Source organism: Homo sapiens, chromosome 8, assembly GCF_000001405.40.
Source record: "Homo sapiens chromosome 8, GRCh38.p14 Primary Assembly".
Lineage (NCBI taxonomy): Eukaryota > Metazoa > Chordata > Mammalia > Primates > Hominidae > Homo > Homo sapiens.
In genome coordinates this window covers 116,624,356-116,649,672 of record NC_000008.11, presented here as the reverse complement: position 1 = coordinate 116,649,672, position 25,317 = coordinate 116,624,356, and the positions used below count along the sequence as shown (strand labels likewise).

The 25,317-nt window shown below is 41.4% G+C and overlaps 1 protein-coding gene across 8 annotated transcripts in view, besides 1 other annotated feature; it reads left to right on the top strand.

The window, feature by feature from the left end:
• EIF3H (eukaryotic translation initiation factor 3 subunit H) overlaps positions 1-7,543 on the top strand; it is a 124,245-nt gene extending 116,702 nt beyond the window's left edge. For all 8 annotated transcript variants that reach the window (XM_047422386.1, XM_047422384.1, XM_047422385.1 and 5 more), the window contains 3 exons: positions 747-867; positions 3,070-3,202; positions 4,570-7,543. In XM_047422386.1, the coding sequence (XP_047278342.1) occupies positions 747-867; positions 3,070-3,202; positions 4,570-4,667 (352 nt within the window). In that variant the 3' untranslated portion in view covers positions 4,668-7,543. The remainder of the gene's footprint in view (positions 1-746; positions 868-3,069; positions 3,203-4,569) is intronic.
• Positions 23,149-23,443: an enhancer, noted in NCBI's record as "tiled region #10947; HepG2 Activating DNase matched - State 8:EnhW". NCBI's record gives its function as "activates a minimal TATA promoter and a strong SV40 promoter by Sharpr-MPRA in HepG2 cells {active_cell/tissue: HepG2}" and the evidence as "EXISTENCE:reporter gene assay evidence [ECO:0000049][PMID:27701403]".

Genomic DNA, 25,317 nt, shown 5'->3' with positions numbered 1-25,317 from the left:
TTGCAGTTAATGAATGGGTACTACTCTTTAGAAGCTTGCTATTTTAAAAATATATATATGTATAGTAGCTGTCCAGGCGTTACCATGGTAGGAGATAAGTTGCAGGCAGAAATCAGTGAATATGGTGGTCATTGTGCCAGTCATTACATCACTTTATAAAGCGATGTTGGTAACTGAGCTGCAATAGAAATTTCGGGAGAGAATAAGAAATATGAAAGACTGTACTACAGATTCTAGGAAAGGTAAGAGGAAAGGAGCCTCTTCATCATGTTTTGTAGAATAAATGTTACCATTGTTCATTTAAAACCTAGATAGAGAAATCATGTGCCAGATGTCATAATCTGTGTGGTTCTTTCCTGTGATTACTGATAAAAATGTTATGGAATGCATTTGGGCAGGAGTAAGTTAATGAAAAGAATTTGGGAATACTGAACTTGGTATAAAAAATATGTATTATAGATGTCTCACTAGGTATGTTTAACAGTTCCTACCCTAACATACCTGTGCTCTCACAATAAGAAACTCAGCTATTTCAGGTATCCCTGAGATTATAGTTGGAAGTTCGGTATGGAAAGTTTAGTAACAAGTTGACTCAGATTTTTTCCTCTGCTCTTGCTTTTATGCATATGTGTGCTCTCATTCTTTTAGCAAAAGCCAGTTCAAGTTCATATCTTAAAACTGTTTAGAGCAGTAGCAAAGCTATAATTTAAAGTAAGACTTGTCAGTATATTTACTTTACATTTCAGCAATCATTTGGGGAAGAATCTACAGTTGCTGATGGACAGAGTGGATGAAATGAGCCAAGATATAGTTAAATACAACACATACATGAGGAATACTAGTAAACAACAGCAGCAGAAACATCAGGTTGGTATTGTGGAAAAATTCAACAAACAGCTATTTCTAAGTTTCATGTATTTCAAGAGTCATGTTCAAAATGACCTAAATTATCTTTGGTAAATTATTGACCGTTAGCTACTCTATATTATATTTTTAAAAGATTATTATTTTTATGGCATGTTTGTAACATATTATTTACAGGTTATACTTAAAAATACCTGTGTTAAAGAGAGCTGTTAAGCTCAGATTGTAATGCCAAGGTTATGCAAATAAGAGATACATTTATTGAGAAAATCAGAAGCAAAGAGATTCCAGAATGTCACAGCTCATTTCTTTACTAACTATAATTGGTTTGGCAGTGGCTCATTGTGGCATAGTTAGCAATCTTCAGTTCATTTAAAAAACGGAGCAATTGTGATTAAGAGCAAGCAATGTTGATAGGAAATAATAGACCAACTGCTGTGAAGTAGATAGTATAATACAGACAAAAACCCTAGAATTATCCGAATATTCTCATATGCACACATCTACGGCTGTGACCATATAACCTTTTCTTTATTCATGTTGCCTGCAGGCCACATGGTTTTCACAGTTCCTGGAATATTGTATTTGGACTATACTGCTCTAAAGTGTTCTTAGCATTTGATTCATAGATTAGTTGATTCCAGAATGTTTATCTGTGAAAGTAGTATTTATATATGACTACTCTGTTCATTAAAATGTACTTTAAACAGAGCTTTGTTAAATATAGAATTCTAAGCACAACTGAGTGGTTTCTAAGAATGTTGTATTTAAATTTTCTCTTAATATCAGAGTTCATTTTCAGTATATAGTGAAATTTAAAGTACTTTGTTTCTACCAGCTTAGAATTGAGAAAACATATGTAAATCAGTATTTTTTTTTTTTAACTAAAAAGATGGGAGTGGTTACAAATGTCTGATAAACTGAGGGGGAAAAAAGTCATCTCAGCTGGATTTCATTTTCATGCTGGTTTTTCCTGTAGGTGAAGGACTCATCCAGGGTATCAAATTGAATATTTGTTTCCTATGAGTACCCCATAATGAATACAGGAATCTTTACAAAGCAAGTTACGTTCCTTCACTAGAAAGAATTGTTGTTTCCCTTGATTTTCTTAGGAATCCAAAGACTAAATTTTTACTAGCCCAGCTTGGTTTCTCATTACCTGACATTTTAAGGTTGTGTATGGGATATTACGTGCTTCACTGTTGGGAGCAGTCATAGCTGTTAGCTCTTATTGTAGTTGATCTATAAGTTTATAGTTAAAGTTTATATATATCCCTGCTTTCTCTTCAGCGAATCATAGGAATCCAGAGTTTGAAAGTATTTGAAGCATTATCTGAGCTATTAATATTATCCATCTTTAGTTATAGAGCTAAGGTACAGACAATTATCTGTTAAGAATAGTAACAATAGGCCAGGAGTGGTGGCTCTCGCCTGTAATCCCAGCACTTGGGGAGGCCGAGGCGGGTGGATCACGAGGTCAGGGGTTTGAGACCAGCCTGGCCAACGTGGTAAAATCCTGTCTGTACTAAAAATACAAAAATTAGCCGGGTGTGGTGGTGGGCGCCTGTAACCCCAACTACTCGGGAGGCTGAGGCAGGAGAATTGCTTGAACTGGGGAGGCGGGGAGGCGGAGAGGCGGAGGCTGCAGTGAGCCAAGATTGTGCCACTGCACTCCAGCCTGGGTGACAGAATGAGACTCTGTGTCAAAAAAAAGAAAAGAAAAGAAAAAAAGCCGTAACAGTAGTGAACATAGCAGTAATAACATCATCTGTATTGTTATTTTAGGTCAATAGGAGTAAAGGTGAAAGAATTTCCAGTGTGGTAGTTCATTACTTAGTCATTAAAATTAGGATGAATCATTTATTACCTCATTGTCATGAATGGTAAAGGAACTCCCTTTACCTTACTAGTCATGAGCTTCTTTCCCTTTAAGCCCCCTGTTACTTACATAACTAGTTTTGTTTTCTGAATCATTAGTTATAGACTCTTAGAGCTAGAGTGACACTAGAGTTTTCAACAAAGGAATTTTCTTCTGCTATTGGCGTATTTAGCTTCTTAGACGCAAGTTACCAAATGTTGCCAATGATAAAAACTGAGGTTGGAATTCAGAGCAGTGGGGTTCTGCTGGTTGTGTAGGGGAAGGACATCTTTTTTTCCTCCTCAGATGGAGAAAAATAACCAAACCATTTTCCCTTTGAATTTTAGTATCAGCAGCGTCGCCAGCAGGAGAATATGCAGCGCCAGAGCCGAGGAGAACCCCCGCTCCCTGAGGAGGACCTGTCCAAACTCTTCAAACCACCACAGCCGCCTGCCAGGATGGACTCGCTGCTCATTGCAGGTATTGTTGCCCAGTGCAAAACCTGGCTGGTTTTGTTCGTTTCTTAGGAAGCAGAAGACAGTGAGAAATTTACAAACAGAAAAGCATGCCGTAAAAGCTAGTATGTTTGAAATAGTTGCAGGATGAATTTGAATCTAGCACCTGTAATATCTGAAATCTAAGAACTTGTAAGAGTTTGTTCTTTTGTCCAGGTCCTTTCAGTGCTTCACTCTGTGTTTCTAAACATTTTTGAGATGGCATAAACTTTCTAAAATGAGTCCTTTTTCATGGAAACCCAGAAAAATTGTTTACAGTCTTAATGCAGAAGACCACTTAGCTCAGGCCTCTTACTCTTCCTTTTCCAGCACAGCACTGTACAGTGGGTACTTGACTTGAATTTAGGAAATTATTTCCCTTACTTGGACTTAAATTGTGGCAGCACAAATGTATTTCCGGATAAACTTTTTCTGGTTATACTTAATGTTTAATACCACCTTTAAGCAGGAGAGGTCCTGTGTCCTGTACTAGGACTTGATTTTGAATATATGACATTCATGCCCTTATTTGGCTATAATCTTATAGAAATGTTAAATGCCATCTGATTCAGTCAGATCCTTACCTGTGAGAAGATTTTATCAAAGTGAAAATCCTACTCAAAAGCTGATTGGCAATTTCTCAAATTATATTGATACATTTGTAATGTGGGAGGAAATTCCAAATTCCTTAACATTTTCTAGTGTACATACAAATTAAATTTGGAAATGAGACACAATTCCTTCCCAAAGGTCCAATTCAAACAGAATTGAGATCCTTATATTTTGAAGAAGTATGTAACTGATGTAACTGTTGCATGGGATTAGATCATTAAAGACATAAAAAGCAATGATGGAGCCCTTTCTTCAAGTGAACTCTTTACTCTTACTCTGTCTGGCTCGTAGGAGAAAACTCCTTAACGTTCCCAAAGCACAAACTGAAAACCTACCGTACTTGTTCACATCTGGGTCCAGTGGGTCTGGCTGGTTTGCAGCTCTGTGATTTATTGTTAGTATCTCCTTTCTACCTGTGAAGGCTAGTCAGCGCTGTTTTCTCAGTTGTACAGCATTGGTTTGATCTATTTAGTCAGTCCTTTTGACTGACAGCTATTATGTCCTTAGGGCTGATAAGCTTTTGAGGAGTAGTTTTTCTTTATTCTCCATGTAATTGAGAGTGGACAGTAGCTTATTTTCAAAAGAACTTGTATTTCTTATCCCTTATGGAAAAATAAACTCTGGATTCAAAACAATAAACAGGTGATTCTGTTTTATGCTGATTTTTCTGTTTGACTAGCTTTCTGGATCATTTTACAATTTGTGGAACATTATGGCTCTATCTCTTTCTCAAATGCACAGGCCAGATAAACACTTACTGCCAGAACATCAAGGAGTTCACTGCCCAAAACTTAGGCAAGCTCTTCATGGCCCAGGCTCTTCAAGAATACAACAACTAAGAAAAGGAAGTTTCCAGAAAAGAAGTTAACATGAACTCTTGAAGTCACACCAGGGCAACTCTTGGAAGAAATATATTTGCATATTGAAAAGCACAGAGGATTTCTTTAGTGTCATTGCCGATTTTGGCTATAACAGTGTCTTTCTAGCCATAATAAAATAAAACAAAATCTTGACTGCTTGCTCATTTGATTTTAGATGTATTTTCTCTGGCTTACTTTTGTTTGCTTATACTTGTTTATTTCTAAAAGCTAAAACAAGCCCTGACCGGAAGTTTCACCAGGCAGAAACCTATAGGCTCCACCACTTTTGCTGCCTCTCAGGTGCCACCTTTCAACCCACTTCTCCCAACTACTTATCCCAGCTCCTGACCCCGAGGCCCTGGCATCTACTGTGAATATTTTTTTTTTGAATTTTTATACTTCGCTGCTCCCAAATGAGCACCCCGAGAGAAGTCCAGGCTTCATGTACTTGCCCAGGAATTCCTTGTCCCCGGACCCGGAATCACTTGGCCTAATTCCGGTCAGTCTGCCTTTTCATTTCTGCAGGTGATGGTCAACCAGTCCCCGTACTCATAGGCCATGGGACACAAGATTATTATTATCATCATTATTTTTAAAGACAGAGTCTCACTTTGTTGCCCAGGCTGGAGTGTAGTGGCACAATCTCAGCTCGCTGCAACCTCCACCTTCTGAGTTCAAGCGATTCTCCCACCTCAGCCTCCCAAGTAGCTGGGACTACAGGCGTGTGCCATCACGCCTGGCTAATTTTTGTATTTTTAGTAGAGATGGGGTTTCACCATGTTGGCCAGGCTGGTCTGCATCTCCTGACCTCAAGTGATTCACCTGCTTCTGTCTCCCAAAGTGCTGGGAATACAGGCATGAGCCACCACTCCTGGACAGGCCACAGAAATTTTAAAGAAAAGAATCATGCCACCACAAGTAAACTTCATTTTGTTTATATTATTTAGGACTTCACATTTGTCTTCCGAAACCATGAAGTATAATTCTGCTAACAGCAAGTGTTGTGAATGAGGAATTAGGAATTAGGAGAATGGTAGTACATTGGGAAAAACATATTTTAGTAATTTTTATATTTTAAAGATAATCACAGATTTTGCTGTTTGTGCATCACCAAAATCAGTGAGATCTGCCAGCTGGTGGGGGTGTGCCTATGAGAATTTTTGATTATGATCCCCTAGGAGGGTTATCAAAAAAGGAGATGGGTGAAAGATCAGGAGAGTCGAGAAATTCATTTTTTGGACAACATTGTTTTGAAGGCACTACTGGGGCTCTGGGATCAGGCAGCCAGATTGAAACCTGGCTCCTCCTTTTCCTAAGTTATTTAACCTCCCTGTGCCTCACTTTTTGTCAACCAGATAAGATAAGAAATGAGAGCAGGTCTGTTACCTCACAAGGTGGCTGTGAGTGTTGAAGACGTTTGTTGGGGGTTTGGGTGAAGCATGCAAACTCTGGTTGGTATGTGGCAGCCACTCAGCCTGTATTTATGATGAGGGAGGCATTCTAGGCACCCCTTCCAGGATGTTGGGTTGTTGGCTGGGTTTTACTTTAAAAAGCTCAGGGCCTAGAACATTCTAGAATCCAAGTACTTGCTCACATATATAATTATTTCTTTAGGATAATCTTTGATATAGACTTACGAGTCAAAGGGTATGTAAAATGTCAGCCCTTTTACCTGTATTGCCAAATTGCCTTCAAAAGTTTCTGCTGTTTTGCCCTCCTACCCATAGTGATAACCTTAAATTGGAGTCAACACAAATTTGAGTGTGACTGTGTTAGACAGAAGGGATATATTAACAGGTAAAACTGGCCATGGCCCCTGCCCTTGTGGAGTATATGCTCTGTTGGTTCATTTCCTCTGCATTCTAATTTTCTAGACTTGGGATCTTATTGTGGAGTTAAACAAAGCACCCTTAAAGTAGCAAGCGAGCAAAATAAAAGCAAGGAAAATCAGTTGGAACATAACTTATGTATTTTTTAGGATTAAGAGTAATTTAACTGAGTCAATTCAATATGTTTTTAAAGGTGTGATTCTTAAATTCTTTATGATTGTTTAGATTTCTATATCTTGGTAACATGAATACACACTTAATGAAAGATTTCAGTAATTTTTGATTTGGGAATTAATCATAGTGGGAAAAACTGTTTAGGAAAACATGTCAGTGGAAATTAACTCGCCACAGTATGTAGTGTTAGGGAATAGCTTCTGTTCGGCATTTGATTTGAGTGCTGTATTCTGACATTTTTCAGGAACAAATACATGTGATTCATCTTCTATAAATATTTGCAGTTTCTTCAAGTTGAAATGAGAAAAGCTCGTAAATTGAGCACCAGGTCTAATAAATCATTCACTTACCCAAGAACAGAAAGACAGGAAAAGCTAGCATGTTAATCTAATGAAAAAATCGAATGTTAAAAAACCAAGAAAGTAGAAGATATTTGACATTAACTTTCTAATCATTGATAATAATCTAATAATCATAACATTATTCTTAAAACCTGAAAGAATGGATTCCTGCTCCCAATGTGTTTTTAATATCAACTTAAACTAAAATAATTTTTTTACCTATTTTTGGAAGCTTGGAAATTGAGATGTAGTTGTCTAATGTTAACCTAATTAAGAGAGCTTGGTGTGATTTCTCATATACAGCATCTAAATATTTAAGTTTTAATGTCTTCTAAAATATTATTACATTCTTCATACTATAGTTTTTTAACATCCTTTAGAAAACTTGTATCAGCTTCACTTTCAAACCATGCTGGCATCGAACTCAGGTGTAGTGGTATCAGAATGTTATGAAATAATTTTTTATTTTCATTATAAACTCCATTTTTACAATAAACACTTCTCAACCAAATTAAGTATGTAATACACTGTCATTTTAAAAAAAAATCTCACTGGGCATCTTTTTCTATGCTAGCTCTGTATTTTTAAAAATTCTCTCTTTTTTTTTTCTAATTTAAGAAGTATTTATCAGATACCTACTATGTCAAGCACTCTTGATGTTCCAAAGCAGACAGGACACAGATTCTGCCTCTGAGCTTATTAATCAGCATATGACCCAAGAAGGGAACATGAAGTCCTACAAGCTGATAGAGTATGAAGTCATAAGTGCCTTGGAGAGTGCTTTGGGCCATGTTAACAGAGGATCCTTCTGCAATTGGGTTGTACAGAAGGGGTGACAGTGGTTAATAGTCATTGTGGTAAAAGGATAAAGATCTGAGTCTATTATTGAAAAGTGGTGACTCCCAAGTTGGAGTCAGAACCTCTTTGGATGGATTGGAAGAGGGGTTCATTTGACTCCAAATTACTGGAGACAGGGAGTGAGAAATAGGAAGCCAGAACTATTGGGAAATTACAGTTTGCTGGAGCAAACTGCTGTGGCCTAGTACTTACTGCCTTGAGACTTCATTTTATATAAATAGACACTTCCCTATAATGCACCTTGAGCCTGTTTGGCTCCACAGCTACTGGCAGAACCTGAAATGGCTTTGCATAAGCCTCAATGGTGATTTTAGGGATATAGTCCGGGTATGCAAGGAATGGTTTCCAAGTGCTATACCCCTGCTCCAATGTGGGGAGTTTGGGCCATTCTGTAGGAGTTCGGTGTTTCCCAGACATTTCTTTGTCTGAGTACTTGCATTCTTATTCTTACAGGCTGTTAAGCCCTCGCGTAGTTGCCATGTGATGAGTTTATTAAAGTCAAAATTTGATTTCTACACCATAGAATACCACTCTGCCATAAAAAAGAATGAAATAATGACTTTTACAACAACTCGGATGGATCTGGAGGCCATTATTCTAAGTGAAGCTGTGGGCACACAGAGTATAATGAACTTTGGAGACTCAGAAGGGAAGAGAGTAAGAGGGGCATGAGGGATAAAAACTGAATATTGGGTATAATGTACACTACTCAGGTGAAGGATGCACTAAGATGTCAGACTTCACTATACAGATTATCCATGTCACTAAAAACCCCTTGTACCCCCAAAAGCTATTGACATTTTTTTTTAAAGGCTAGCCTGGGTAGCATAGTGAAGACTCCATCTCTATACTTTTTTTTTTTTTTTTGAGAAAGAGTCTCACTCGGTCACCCAGGCTGGAGTGTAGTGGGCACAATTACCGCTCACTGCAGCCTCAACCTCCCGGGCTCAGGTGATCCACCTCTGCCTCCCGAATAGCTGGAACCCTAGGCACATACCATCACACCTGGCTAATTTTTTTTGTAGAAACGGAGTTTAGCCTTGTTGTCCTGGCTGGTTTGGCTCCTGTCTTGGCTTCCTAAGGAGCTGGGATTACAGATGTGAGCCACTGCACCTGTCCTTAAAAAATGTTTGATTCCATGAGATTAGATGTTGAGGCCATTTGCATTTTTTTATGAGTTAGGCAACCAATTTTCAATCTTCATTGACTCAATGGCAAGCAGTCTGCTACAGATTGAATACATCCTCAGAGTCTTACTAACTTGAGTATTCCCTGGAACCATCATGAGTTGAGAGGATAGGAGATGGAGTGCTGAATTCATGCTTATTCTAGGACTTGCTTGAAGTCTTTTTAATAGGATTCAGGTACATGTTTGCTTGCTTTTCCTGAGCATTCTCCACCCTCTCCACCCACCTAACCCCCAAAATAGGTCTCATTGTCTGATGTTGTCTTGTAAAGAAAATATATTCTTCTTTAATCCACAGATTACTGTTTTTACATTTGAACAAAAGTGAAGGACTGTGCCACTTCTTCCTCAGACCCTTAACAATGCAGAATGGCCAATTTCCAAGTGTCCTTGTTTAAAGTTTATTGCAGCAGGAAAATACTACTTCTGGCATTTATGTCAACCTCAAGACAAACTCAGGTGTCACTTTTATTTCCTTGAGTAATATTTTATTTCATTGACCCTTCTTCAGGGCACAGCCATTTCTGGCATCTTCCATCTTCCTTTGTGGACATGGAAGCAAAGGATTTGTTTAACTTTCAGCAGTGTTTACCGTTTCTGACAGTAAATGGTCCTTGCCGTCTCTTCTTGGACTGTAGTCTCTCTTGCCAGTGTCTTAACTATGTGTGTATTGGAAACAGTTCTTATTTTGTCAAATCCCCTGGGTGATCTTTCTCTACCTTTGTTTATCTTGTCATTTGGCTTTCACTTACTTAACTCATTCCTAATTTCAATCTGCCTATGATTCTTTAGTGTTGATTCTTGACCTCCATTTTGAGGTTTTAAAATTGCATTTTATTTATTAAAACAGTCACAGATTTTAATTTTTCCATGATATAATCATGCATCTCTGAATGTCATAATTCTCCAGTCAGGCAAGCAAGTGTCCCAATAACCTCATCTCCTAGATCACAATGGAGAAGGTCTATTTTTCCTTTTGATGCATGCAGCTCCCATTATTGCTAATGAAAGGTCTTCATGTGCATTAAGGGGAAACTAGACCTCTAATGAGATACAGAGAGGAATTGCAGCTGATGATTTCCACTTCTAGCCCACTGTACTATAACAAATGCATACTCAGGAGGCAATGGGCCAAAGAAACCAAAATGCATGTGCTGCTTATATAAAATATCTTGCCTAGTCTTAATGTAGGTATTGTTTTGGCTTGTAGTGTCTGATGTTCCATACCTGCTGAAGGGGGCCCTCATTATGGAGGCAAAAGACCTAGGTACTTGGAGAAGAAAATGAATAGACAAATTATATTTCAAGTAGCTTTTTAAGAGCAATCTCCAAATTAATATTTTACAGTTCACAAAGTACTTGCTCATGTATCTTCTCATTTGGAATGTGAGAAGAGTACAAAATGCATTATGAAGCCAATGCACTTGATACAGAAAATACTAGGTTTGAAACACAGTAATGGCCTAGTAATGATGAAACCAAACTTCAAAAAGGTTGTGATTGACTAAAGCTAACCCACCCCTAGGTGGCAGGACCGGGACTGGAGCTCAAGTCTTGGGTGTCAGTGCCATCGTACTCGTACCAATATGTGGCACAACCTCCCTTCTCAACAGGACTGGAAAAATAGTTCTTGTTTCAAGATATTATGCAATATCATCTCTTCTGTGGTGAGCCACTCTCTCTCCTTCCCCCACCGATTTCTGGGAACTGTTTCACCTCCTAATTCACCCTGATCCCAAGATTCACAGGATCCCAGTGGTGAGCTCCCAGTGTCTGTGTTTATAACTGGACCAAGGTGGATATCTTAATCAGTTACCCTTTTCAGATAAACAACAATTAAGGGATGCTAGTGTCCATCCAGGCTCATTCCTTGAGTAGAGGTGGTCTAATCTCTTGACTACTTTGTAATTCAGGGCTGAGTAGCAGAGCACAGGGGAAGGAAGAATCAGCTGGAGCAAGAATAAAAGAATGTTGCCTGGGTTCCTAACACTGGCATTTTCTGTTTCCAGTCTCTTTCTGAGACCTGTTTAGATTCTTGCCTTTGAATCTCACAAAAACACATTTGAATCTTCTTAATAACACTGCCTTTTTTTTTTCTTCAGCAAGTATGAATTGGTTTCTGTTGCTTTCAACCTGAAAAAAAAAAAAAAAAAAAAAAAAAAAAAACCTAACCCAACTCATGTATATGCCAAGGCTTATTTGCTATCAGGCCTCAAAAGATTTTAGAAGGTGCAGCCTTAAGTGGGAATTGGAGAATAAAAGCTATTGTATTTTGCAAATATGTTAACAGAACTTTAGAACGAGAGGAACTAGCCCTGTCTCTCTATGACCACTAACACCCCCATTCACAGATGTGGAAGGAGGTACCAAGAGCTTTAAGTATTGTTTCCAAAATAGCCTATTCACCATTCTTTTGTATTGTTCTGTGCCTCAACATTTTCTGCAGAATGTCGTCCCTTACATGACTGAGGCTTTCTGTTTGCAAAGATGTTCCCTGATGTACTCTGGAGTTGAAGTGTGTAGCATTTGGAGCTCAAGGGTAGCACATTTTCTCAGAAATGAACAAGGAGTTGGAGGCTAATTTAAAACATCTTACAACTCCCATCACCTTGACTGTTCCAGCTGGGAAGTGAATCGAAGAGGTGAGCTTTTGCTGCTTTGCTGGAGACTGGTGTCAACAGGTGGTGGGGTATTCTAAATTTGGTCTGAGATGAAAACATTTCAAGCAAACAAAATTAAGCTAGATTCTTTTGACAGTGAAGTATTTCTTTAGAGATGCAGATGTCAGTTTATAAAAGTACAAATCAGCATTGGAAAAATAATATTTGAGGTTGTGTGTGTTTAAAAGCTATCCCTGACAAAAAAAAAAAAAAACTTTGGGAAACTATAATTCACCTTTGCCTCTGGCTTCTAAACGTATGGTGATTTTGAAATGGTAATGTGAAGTCCCTTCCCTCCCACTCCCAGACTTACGGAAGAAGGGAAAACTGGAGTAATTTGTTAGGAAAAAAGACATTTGCATTTGTAATGTTCATGTCATTTTGTTCATGCTTCTGTGAATTCACAAATGTACAGAAATTCAGAAATCATCTGGAGTAGGAGAGAGAGAAAGGGAAGGTGTTGATTTTGCATTTTGATGAATCCCTGATGTGGCAAGTCTCAGATGACAATCTCCCATCTTGTATTGACGGACTGTAGCAATTTTAGGGTACTCTGCTGAGAAGTGATTAGAGGCTGGCAATGCAAAGCCTCCATGAATTCCAAATATATTCGGTGTTAGCAGTAAATCATTGCTCCTGATTTAAAGCACACTTGGACAAAAAGATGATCCTCTGCTGATGCTCTTATGTACTAGATGCTTGCGTTTCATTGCCTCTAGGAAAAAAATACTAACCAGCCAACCAACAAGAGTGGCACTTTTCCATCTAAAGAAGTGAGTGTTGCTTACCTTGTCAGTTCAGCTCTTCTGAGTCTCTATCTGTAATTTGGTGAGTGGGTTTTAGCTTTGCAAATGGAGTACACTGTAGGGGAAAGTAGAATTGCGAACTTACACTTTCAGAATGGTGATTGTTGTGGTGGGTCTTCTTCTGTAGTGTTAGAGCACCTTTTGGTGTTCATTCAACAAATGTGCCAAACACTGCTCAACACAGGATGAAAAGGCAGTCAGTCCTGGCCCACATGGGACTTAACCAAGAGCAGTGGTTCCCAAAGTATGGCCCCTGGGTAAAAATCACCTGCAAACTTGTTAGAAATGCAAATTTTCAGGCCTCAACCCAGACTTAACTGAATCAAGAGCTTTGAGGATGAAGCTTAACCAAGCACCTGTCTTCACCAGCACCCCAGGTGACTATTGCTTGGTGAAGTTTGCTCTAGTACAGATGCTCCTTGACATGAAGTGCAGTTACATCCAGACAAATGCATTGTAAGTTGAAAATATTGTAAGTTGAAAATGCATTGAATACACCTAACCTATACCATAGCATAACCTAGCCTACCTTAAACGTGCTCAGAACACTTACATTAGCCTACAGTTGGGCAAAATAACACAAAGCCTATTTTGTTATAAAGTGGTAAATATCTCATGTGATTTGCTGAATACAATACACTGTATCTGTTGTTTGCCTTGTGATTGGGTGGCTGACTGGGAGCTGCAACTTGCTGCTACTGCCAGCATCATGAAAAAGTATCATACTGTCTATCACTAGCCCAGAAAAAGATCAAAATTGAAAATTCAGACTGGGTGCCGTGGCTCACACCTCTAATCACGGCACTTTGGGAGGCCAAGGCAGGAGGATTGCTTGAGCCCAGGAGTTTGAGATCAACCTGAACCTGGGAAACAGTGAGACCTGCTTCTACAAAAAACAAAAAGGCAATCACAAAACAAAATTCTACTGAATGTGCATTGTTTTGCACCATCGTAAAGTTGAAAAATTGTAAGTTAAGCCATCCTAAGTCAGGAGGTGTCCATACTGTTGTTCCTGAATCTGGCTGTGTTGCCAAGGAAGTTTTGTTGTTGTTGTTGTTGTTTGTTTGAGATGGAGTCTCTGTCAACCAGGCTGGAGTGCAGTGGTGTGATCTCAGCTCACTGCAACCTCCGCTTCCTGGGTTCAGTGATTCTCCTGCCTCAGCCTCCTGAGTAGCTGGGATTACAGGTGCACACCACCACACCCAGCTAATTTTTTAATATTTAGTAAGACTGGGTTTTACCATGTTGGCCAGGCTGGTCTCGCATTCCTGACCTCAGGTGATCCCCCGCCTCTGCCTCCCAAAGTGCTGGGATTATAGGTGTGAGCCACCGCGACCAGCCAAGATTTTTCTTTTAAACTAAAGGCTTCAATAAGGCCTGGACTTTTTTTTTTTTTTTATTTTTAAAGTTACCAGATGATATTGGGAAGACATAATTTAATAACTCACTATAGAATAGCCACCTCTCTGGAGAGGTTAAGAGTAATAGTTATGTTGGACTGTGCAGGAAGAGGACAAGGACAGGGAAGAGGAGGAGGAGGAGGGACACAGAAGGCTGGAAGGATCCAGGTCTAGAGAGCCTCGTATGCCATAAGCCTGAGATGATAGTGGCGCATTGTTTACATGGCTGTGCTGATTGCAGCAGCCACTGTGCAGGAGCAGTGTAGATACCGCATCCAAAAGAACAGCAAGTGTGTTCCACTTCAGAACCTTGCACTGAAAAAAGCCTCAGTGACGTAAGTTCTATTTTGAAATCTATGTTGAATCCTGGCAGTCAGAGGGACAAATTGTGACAGTCGGCCTCCTACCCTCACCCTCAGTGCCCCCTAATTAGGATCAAGGAATCGTATGAAAAATGAAAACAGACAAGATTAGAAAATGTGTTATTTTTCTAGCAAAAATATAATTTCTAAGCACAAGCCTCATAATTTAAGGTGAAAAGCATGTTGATGTTGGAAAAAAAATAATTACACTGTTCTCCGCCTTGCTGTTCAATTGGAACCATGTGCAATTTTGTTTGAATTGGTATCTCCAAAATATGACCTATTAAGGCTTTTGAGAGATTTCTTGTGTATTTGAACACCATTGATAGAGTGGTACAACAGAGAATATTTAACATTTGGTGAAGGAATTTCTTCTGGGGCACCTTTACAAGATTGCAGGGAAAAGTGCATTTTTAGCAAACTGCAAAGTCTCAGCACTAAGAGCCTATGTAGAATGGAGAATACTTGGATCACTTAGGGGTCAGCATATCTTCACACCTTAAGGCAAATGAAACAAATCATTGGAGGCATTGAGAATAAAGTCCTCTGTCTTGCCACCATTATCCCTTTTTTCCTCTCAATGACTTTTTTTTTTTTGCAGTATTTTCTGAAAGTCTTTTATTTTTTTAAAAGAGAATATAGAAATTTAGATTTAATTTGTTACAGCTTGCATTTAAGTCTCTGGAAAAATGAGAAGTAATTGGAAGATAACAGTAGCAGCTGCCTAACCAGTTGTTTCAAAATATGGCAGTAAAATATTAAATACGAGACTTGCTATTTTTGTGCACAGATGTCTGCCATTGGTTGTGATAGATTTCCAACCTCCCTACCAAGTTAATATTTTAGGAGGGGGTAGGGAGGATGATTATGACAAATTACGGACTTACATTACTCCTAAGGAAAACAGAAATCAATGGAACCCTGATGGTAAACTTTATATATATAAGCAATTTTTTCTCTCTTTAAAAAAAGCAAAGCACAGTTAAACATATATTATGTTGCTTAATTGACCTGGGCTAGAGGGCAGCCTCAGATTTTGGACACTACTGCTGAGAAAGAGTCTACAACTGATTTGGCACATAAATTGAAAGAACATGAGCTTAGAGGGAGAGCAAGCAGTTTTGATGGAACATGCAGTTTATTTGCATCACAAATGGGAGGTATGGGATGGGTCAAGTGTATGAAATTGACATCCGAGGCCACACAAGGATGGAGCTTCATTATTCCTGTACATGGAATTAGCCTTCAGCAGTAGCATGGACTATTCAGGTTATTTCAGTGAAAATGGAGTTTCACTTGCCAGTGGAGCAAGGTACAGTGTGTTTTCAAATTGGGCATGCCCAATGCAGTTGCGTGGGTGTTCTGGGGAGGCAGGAGATGACTGCAGCTAGGGGGACAGAGGTGGCAGCATCTATGAAATGCTGCGGGAAATTTGATGCGGATGAAGGAAGAGGAGGTATTTCCCAAAGTTTGTTGGTTTTTTTTCTGAGACAGAGTCGGAGTCTCGTTCTCTTGCCCAGGCTGGAATGCAATGGCACGTGATCTTGGCTCACTGCAACCTCCACCTTCCAGGTTCAAGCGATTCTCCTGCCTCAGCCTCCCGAGTAGCTGGGATTACAGGCGCATGCCACTAGGCCCAGCTAAGTTTTTGTATTTTTAGTAGAGATGAGGTTTCACCATGTTAGCCCGGCGTCGTGGCTCACACCTGTAATCCCAGCACTTTAGGAGGCCAAGGCGGGTGAATCATGAGGTCAGGAGATCGAGACCATCCTGGCTAACACGGTGAAACCCCAAAGTCTATTCTAAGGAACTGTAGTTTTGTGGAATATTCATAGGTACTACTTGGTGATAAAAAGACAAACAGAAAATTTTCTAAAATAAATTTTGGGAAAGGCTTGCTTAAGCATCATTGGACTGAGTGTTTTGCTTCAAAATTAGCAAAACTTTGAATAAATAAAGTGGAGTGTAAAGTTTTAAGAAGAAAAAGCATTCTTTCATTTATTAACTGTGTGCCAATGCACCACTTTCTCCTGTTTTCTCAGCTCTAAAACAGATAGTGGTATTCTCTTCATCTACATGAAATTGCCACTATTCAATCGACAAAAAAAAAAATTGGCAATTTCATACGGTTCAGGCCAATTCTATTATCACATTATGCATGCATGTAATAATGCATATCTCATAGGGTTATTGGGAGAATTAAATAAGATGATGTGGTAAAGCTTTTTGATCTCACAATAGCAAGCACTCATTAGTGGTTTCTGATTGTGGGGCTGTGTGACCAAAACAGTGTAATCATAGAGCCCTTGTTTTGCTTTCCTTTCTTTTCTTTTCTTTTTTTTTTTTGAGATGGAGTCTCTCTCTGTTGCCTAGGCTGAAGTGTGATGGCACGATCTCTGCTCACTGCAACCTCTGCCTTCCGGGTTCAAGCGATTTTCCTGCCTCAGCCTCCTGAGTAGCTGGCATTACAGGCGCGCACCACCATGCCCAGATAATTTTTGTATTTTTAGTAGAGATGGGGTTTCACCATGTTGGTCAGGATGGTCTCAAACTCCTGACCTCGTGATCCGCCCGCCTCAGCCTCCCAAAGTGCTGGGGTTACAAGCGTGAGCCGCCGCACCCGGCCCGTAGAGCCCTTGTTTCTAAAGACTGATATGGGATTGATATGGGACTGATATGGGATTCTAGGGGAAGGAGGATATAGAGCAGGCACCAGCTAACTTTTTCCTGTAAGGGGCCAGGTAGTAAATATTTTCAGTTTTGTGGGCCATATGCTCTCTATGGCAACTACTCAACTCTACCACTGTAGTGGAAAGGTAGCCATAGACAGTCTGTGAATGAATGGGTGTGGCTGTGTTCTGAAAACTTTATTAATCAGGTATTGGTCTGGATTCGGCTTTCAGGGCTGTAGTTTTCTGGCCCTAACTAGAGATAAAGGGAAGCAGTGAGTTGTTAAGGTGAGAAGACAGAATTGAGTGTTTGGAGACCTAGCTTTTGGTTCCAGTTCTGCCACTCACTGTCAAGGCTCAATCTGAGGCTTAATTCACTAGTTTACCAAGTTGCTTAGTATTTTCTGCTCTAATAAACTCATATATTGAGGAGAGCATGGAAGGAGTTGCTATAAAGCAACTATGCAAACATATAATATTTTTTTCTAGAGCTATTATTGCTTTTATTCATTCATTCAATTAATTTATTTTTAGCATGAATCAGTACTGTGCTGAACTCTGAGGATATGGTGGTGAATAAGACAGATATTGGCTTTGTCTGGATGAAGCATACATTCTCCTGGGGGTATTTATTTTTGGAGTATTGTTATATGATTTAAATGAAAAGTGATGCTGTAAGAACTATTGATTCCTTTACTTTTGACAGAAACCCCTTTGTCCTGAGTAGAACAGAGCAACGTAAAGGAGAAGGTGAGTTCTCCAAATAGAACCTAGACTAGAGGAGAAGAGGTTGGCTTTTTCCCAGATACCCACTGCGCAGGACTTAGGATGAAGTCAGGCTTAGTATTTGAGCTTTAGCTACAGTCGTGTGTATAAGAATACCATATTCTGTTTATACAGTAGATTTGCCTCCAGCCACAGATGTTTCCGGCACCTGGTTAATTTATTCAGGAAAGGCCAATGCTCATTAAGACTCCCAAGTCCCAGAGCTAAGTTTTATGGGTGGGGAAACGGAGGTACTGAAACGGTTATGGAATTGACTCAGATCACAGCTTGCTGGATATAGGACTCAGGCCAATGTGACAAGCCCTAGGATTGGGCTGAAGGCCTCTCTCCCTGGGACTGCCTTACTCTCCAGGGCAGTTGAGACTTCTCCGACCCACTACTCCAATTAAACCTAAGAAGCGTTAGAGGGACTCGAGGTCCTGCTGGGAGGGAACCCGTTTTTTGACTTTGACGAAGGAGAGGCTCTAATCAGGAAACCAGATGCTGCTTCAGGGCGAAAGAACTTTGGCAGCCTTGGAGCTGTGAGTCAGGAGGCTGCATCTGTCAGAGACGAGCGGCACAGTGCAGAAGAGGCCTCTCTCTTTCCTTTCGTGGGTGGGTCGCTTCTGTCCCATGAGTGGCCTGTAGTAAGATTGTGTCTCGGTGGAGAAGGGTCCTGGTACCAAAATGGATTCCTGCTGAGATGGTTGGGATCATCTGCCACTTTCAATTTTTCTGAGCCCGTCCAGTGTTGGAGCAAAATGTCTCAGCCCTTCACCCCCATCCATGGCAGAGGTTACCAACAAGGAGAGCGTATCAGAATCTCCAAAAGTGGGGACAAGGTTGGGGGACTGGGAGTGTTAGGTACAGTTTGAATACGTTTATTTAATGTTATAGTTTAACTTTGTATTTTGGAAATGAGAGAGAGAGAAAAAAAAAGAGAACCTGTTGGTTTTGTAATTTGCCTACTTTGGCATTTGCCAAAAGTGAACTACCAACAGTGGAACTCAGTCACATTTTCCTGGCCACTTGGGATAACCAGTGATTCTAAACATTGTCGGAAGGATGGAAGATTTTAATGTTTATGAAAAGGAAACATGGATTTAAAAACAAAAAAGAGGAGGAAAGAAATAAAACTAGACTCTTTTCTAGTTGCCTGGCTGATACAACAAGCCCAGAGCAAGGAATTCTGGACACTGTCATGGAGATAAGGTAAAGACTGAAAATAACAAAATGTCACGTCTGTAAAAGGGCTGAGTGCCAGCTCTCATCAGGGACAAGAATGGGTCAGCAGTTGTGCTTTGCATGGCGCTAGGAAAGCCAACTGATTTGGATTTGCCAGATCTAATGAGAGAAGGGAGTTTCAGCACAAGAACAAATCTATAGACATGACCTCAGGTCCCTGAATCTCAACTCCAGCAAATATGAAATATGTCATAGGTGTTCCTGAGTGAAGTCAGGCCTGAGCCAGCCAGGGCCTCACCTTCTCTGGATTTGGGGGTCCAGCTTTATACCTTGTGTGTTCAGAAGCCTTATTAGCTTCTGTCTTTGGAAAATGAGAAGGACAATGCAGGCTGTCCAGAACAGAATTCAGATTTACAGATGAGAGTCTTAAGCCACAAAGATTTTTTTTTTTGTCACCATGGGAAAACTTAAACTATTCGAATCAGACAAATTAATACCTGTAAATTTTTTTTGTATTTTTAGTAAAGACAAGGTTTCGTCATTTTGGCCAGTCTGGTCTCGAACTCCTGGCCTCAAGTGACATGCCCACCTCGGCCTTCTAAAACGCTGGGATTACAGGCATGAGCCACCATGCGCGGCCTGCAGTTGTTTCCTTTAGGTGTGCTCATTCATATAACACAAAGGCCCTGAGGAATAGGGCACTGTTATTGATTCTGTAGGGAATGCCATTGGAGGAGTTTCCCAGAGACTGAGTCATGTTTGCCCTGATTGGTCCATCCTCTCTCAACTGGTTTCCCCCATGTTTGTGAGCATTTATGCATTTCACACATCTTAATTGAGCACCTCTTATATACCAGGCCTTGTGCCAGGCCCTGAGGAAACAGAGGGTAATAAGGGGAAACTGCTGCTTGCAACAGGCAAATCCTACAGGTCCTCAAGAAAGGGAGCCAGAGGAAGTGGCGCAAGCCATTGAATGACCTTGCAAGTCTGCCCCTGTGAAGGAGGCAGGACGGGAAGGAGTGGTGGGGAAGAAGAGTCTCAGGCTGAAGCCCCATGCTGGGAAGGTTTTGGTTAGGTGACTACCGAGCCCTCGATGTAAGGTAGCTTGTCAGAGGAGTCCCAGAGGCCAGAAGGGACTGCATTCAGTGCTGGGCTCAGCCAGTGGCTGGGAGTAGCCCTTGGGAAGCGTGGTGTGGGCACAATGCAGTGGTGGGTTCAGAGCAGAGCAGCTGGGGCCATTTGTTCACTTATCCTCCCTACAGCAGGAGACCTGAGTGGCACATTTTTAGGGCTCTCATACTGCCTGCATGGAGTTCACAGTCAGGGAGGGGAGACAGGCATTAAACAAATAATGACGTCAACCATCAGTGATTTGCAGCTGTGACTGGCACCACGGAGGAGTGCAGGAGGCCATGAGATAGTATCATAGAGGGTTGTATTAGTAAAGGTAGGGACTTCCCTGAGGAAGGGACTCCTCAGGGATGAGGTTTGGAAGATGAGCTGGAGTTGGCCAGGTGAAGAGGGGAGGGAAAAGTATATCAGAGAGAGTGACAGGCTGGAACAGAGAGAGACAGAGACAGACAGGGTGAGAACACGCAGGCACAGTTGATGTGTGACAAATTGTCATAAAGTTCTAGGGGCTTAAAGAAGGATCATTTTTGTTGTTAATGTTTTAATGTTCTTTTCCTTGGAATTCAATGGTTGCGTATTTTTTCAGAAAAAAAGGGTTTCCACCCACCCTAAAGCATACACTCTAAGGAGATCCAATTGAGACCTTGTACATAAAATATCAAAGGAATCAGGATTTATCTGCTCCTTGGGGGACACTGGGACATGCTGATCTTACAGATGAAGACTTTCTTCATCAAGTCGTTAATTCCAAGGCCATCTCAGAGTTGAAGAGAAGTCCCAGTCATCTCCACTGTATTAAAAAATGATGAAATGCTGAAACAGGTTATAAAACTAGTCCTGCAAGTGTATCTCAAGGACCCCATATGTCACCTTAATGTTCCCAGATTAGCCACAAGAGCCTAAGTGGAAGGCTGATGGCGTCCTGTCCACCCCACCCCACGCTGCTTCCCAGCCATAGGCCCTGTGTAGTGGTTCTGTGTAGGTGGCTGTGAAGATGACAGAGGATCACTTGCACACACCGATGAACAGAGGTGAGTCTAGGTTGATGATGAGTGAGAGATGCCAGGAGAGAAATAGATCTTCTGAATTTCCTCATGAGCCTTTTCCTGAAATCCATGGCATTTCTCAAGCACTAGGAAATATTTGCTGTTTTGTAAAAGAAGCCAGTGTTCTTAAAACCTGTCTCCCCTCCCCTAACTGCCCTAACCAGACCCTCTGACCTGGAGAATTAAGGATACCTGTCATAGGAGCATCTCTCATGATTCCTGGCCTCTTGGGACAGGAAGCCTCACCTTGAGCTCTGACACTGTCTGTTTCCATTTAGTTCCAGCACCACTGTTTGGGGACTGCTGTCTTTCCCTCTTCAGCTTTAAATATATTAGCAATATGTATGAATCTCAGCGACCTCTTGGAGAATTACATTCCTATGATTACTTAAAAGAAATCAGTTCTGCATGATGAAGCGTTTACTTCTGTTTTCTGCCCGTCTGTGCACCTGAAGAATGATTCTTATTAGATTAGAATTTGTCTAAGGCTGTATTCGCATTGAGTGTTTTCTCTGCTCTTTCTCGTGAGAGGAGTGCTCCCTCCCACGCACCGTCCACAGCTCATTTCCAAGTCTGCATATCTCATTGTGCATCTGCTGCTGCTCTGCTCAGGCCTGAGTAGCCGCTGACAGTGATTGGCAGAAAAGGGTTTCCAAGAATATTAAAAAAAAAAAAAAAAAGAAAAAGAAAAGGAAGGGAAAAAGGGAGAAAGGCAAACCAACTAAAAGAAGGGAGAGAGAAGTTTTGCTGAAGAATGACAAAGAACAATTAGGCTTCTCCTAGCTTCGTGTGACTAATCATACAGACCAAACTCCTGGCCCTTTCAATTATAGCTACCAGCTGGCATTCCCCATATGACACCCTTACTTGGAATTGATAAATCCTATATGCAAAGTGCTGCCTGGGGTGTTTCTTGTTTGCATTTTCTCAGCCTCTACTCTTCTTTGCTTTTATTTATTTATTTATTTATTTAAAGACGAAGTCTCAATCTGTCACCCAGGCTGGAGTGCAGTGGTGCTATCTCCACTCACTGCAACCTCTGCCTCCCCAATTCAAGTGTTTCTACCACCTGAGCCTCCCAAGTAGTGGGGACTACAGGCGCATGCCACCACACCTGGCTAACTTTTGTATTTTTAGTAGAGATGGGTTTTCACCATGTTGGCCAGGCTGGTCTTGAACTCCTGACCTCAAGTGATCTGCCCACCTTGGCCTCCCAAAGTGCTGGGATAACAGTCATGAACCACTGTGCCTGACCCCTTCTTCCCTTTTAAATTCAAGAGTCTGGGGTTTGTAAAGGGAATGAGTGTGAGTGGGGACACTGTTGCTTCAGTAGTGGGCCCCCCCAAATTGTGGTTTGCACACAATTTAGGAGCTAGACATAATTTAGAAGCCAGAAGGCCTAGCTCTAGGGAAGGTGCAAGGCCAGCTCTCACCTTCTATTCTTTGTTGTTTCTCTGTTCTCTGTCCACTATCATTTCTTTTGGGGAAAAAAGTCTTGGGCTATGTTTACACAGCATTAGAGAAACCACGTGGAAAATATAGGCCGCAAAGAATTATTCTCCAGGCGCTGCTGGTAGATGCTCATTGTGACTTGATCTTTCTAAAATGGAGCCCTAAACATGTCCCTCCACCTGCTGAAAAGCCTGCAGGGATGGCTCCTCATTGGTCTCTAGATATGATTCCAACTCTGCAGTTAGATGGGCAAGGAGTCTGGTGAACTGGCCTCTGCATGCCCTTGAACCTGCTCTGGTGCTGCCTTCCCCTCAGGCACCTTATGCTCCATAGAAGGTGTCAGGCAGGGTGCAGCAAGGAACACAGGAATCAGTGTGAGTTCTTGATACAGAGGGGAATGAATGAAGGGAATTGGTCACATAGGTCACGAAGGGCTGAGAAGCCAGCAAGGGAAGTTGTGGCCACCCAGAGGTTAGCAGGCAGCAAGACACAGTTGTCAGGACATCGTCCGAAGATTGAAGATTGGGCCTCAGTCACCTGGCAGGAACAGGAGCCACGTGGGCCTCTCGTCCTGGGGGAAGCGGGAATGCTGCTAGAGTCAAGGAAGAAGGGAGGGGGATATCCTGGCTCTTTCCTTCTCTTCCTGGATTTGTCAGCTTGCCCCTCCATAATAGAATACCACACAGTGGCTGGTGTAAACAACAGACATTTGTTTTCTCAGTTCTGGAGATAGGTCGAAGATCAGGGTGTCAGCAGGGTTGGTTCCCGGTGAGGGCCCTCCTCCTGGCTTGTTGATGGCCACTTGCTCCCTGTGTCCTCATGTGGCCTTTCCTTTGTGTGTATGCAGAGCGAGAGGGCTCTGGGGTCTCTTTCTCTTCTTACAAGGACATCTGTCCTATCAGGTTAGGGCCCCACCCTTACACCCTCACTGAACCTTAATTCATCCTTTAAGGTCCTGTCTCCAAATACAACAGTGGAGGTAGGGGCTCAATGTGTGAATTTTGGGGGGACACAGTTCAGTCCATAGCACCTCCTATCTCTAATCAGCACCTCCCTTGGGTCAAACCGGTGGCTGCCATGGGAACCTAGGAAATACATCCTACCGGGACCAGCGTTTGTATGATAACAACGCGTGGGGCGGACTCTGCTGGGTGATGTGGGGCGTGTGTATATGGGGGTGGTGGGCATATGTTCAAAATTGGGGATCTATTAGAAGAGGAGTGGGTGGATGGATTCTGGCCAGGCAACCAACAGTGAGCACCACTGACTAATACCAAATGTCTTTCTGTTTCTGGAACTAACCACACCTTCTTGTTTTGTTCATGTTTTCTCTTTATCTGGGGCCCTCTTCACGCCTTTTTCTCTGCTACTCCTTTGCCTGGCTGAGTTTTCATCAATGCCATCTCACCTATGGGCTGAATGTTTTCATTTATTTAACAGATATGAATGAACACTTAAGTGTCAGGCTCTGTTCTGGGCTTTGGTGCTGTAAGAGTGGACAAAGGACATTCTTTGCCTTCCTGGAGCTTACGTTCCAATGGAGTCGAGGGAGGAAATAAATAAATAATAAATGAGCAGATACCTGGTATTTCTGATGGGAATCAATAAAATGGAGAAAAACTGAGCAGGGTAAGGAAGACAGAGTGCCAGAGGCATGGCTGTGTATCTCTTTTATGCTAGATTGACCGAGAATGCCTTACAGATGAAGAGTGACTGGGCACAGTGGCTCACATCTGTAATCCTAGCACTTTGGGAGGCTTAGGGGGGCTGATCACTTGAGGTCGGGAGTTCAAAACCAGCCTGGCCGATATGATGAAACACCATCTCTACTAAAAACACAAAGAAGTTAGCCAGGCATGGTGGCAGGCACCTGTAATCCCAGCTACTTGGGAGGTTGAGGCAGGAGAATTGCTTGAACCTGAGAGGCGGAGATTGCAGTGAGCCCAGATTGCACCACTTCACTCTGGCCTGGGCAACAGAGCCAGACTCCATCTCAAAAGAAAGAAAGAAAGAATTTAAGGACAGGCATCCTGAGGGTTGAGGTAAGCTGAATAGTGACCCCCCATGAATATATCCACATCCCAATGCCCAGACCTGTGAATATGTTACTTTACCTCGTAAAACAGACTTTGTAGATGTGACGAAAGATTTGAGATGGGGAGATTATTCCGTATTTTCTTGGTGGACCCAATGTCTTCACTTACTTATAAGAGGGAGGCAAGAGGGTCAGAGTCGGTAGTAAGAGATGGGATGACTGAAGTGAGAGGTTGGAGTGAGGCAAGGAAGGGGCCAGGAACTAAGGAATGCAGGAGGACTCTAGGAGCTGGAAAAGGTGAGGAAGCAAATGCTCCTCTGCAACTTCCAGAAGGAATGCAGCCCTGCTGATGCCTTGATCTTAGATTTCAGACTCCAGAACTGCAGGAGAATAGATTTGTGTTGTTTGAAGCCTCTAAGTCTGTGGTAATTTATTACAGCAGCAGCAGGAAATTCATACAAAGGTATTCGGGGGAAAAATGTTCCAGACAGTGCTGGTGAATTCAGGTGGGCTAAAAAAAATAACTAAAAATTAAAAAATTTTTTTTTTTTTAAAAAGAATGTTCCAGACAAGAAGAGCAAGTACAAATATTCTGGGGTAGGAAGGTGCCTGGTGTATTGTTGATTCAATTTATTGATCACTTTTACAATAAACAAATTCATTTAAGTATCGATTGTGCACCTGTCATATGATACGCATTTTTTCATCACTCCCTCACTCCCAGAACCCT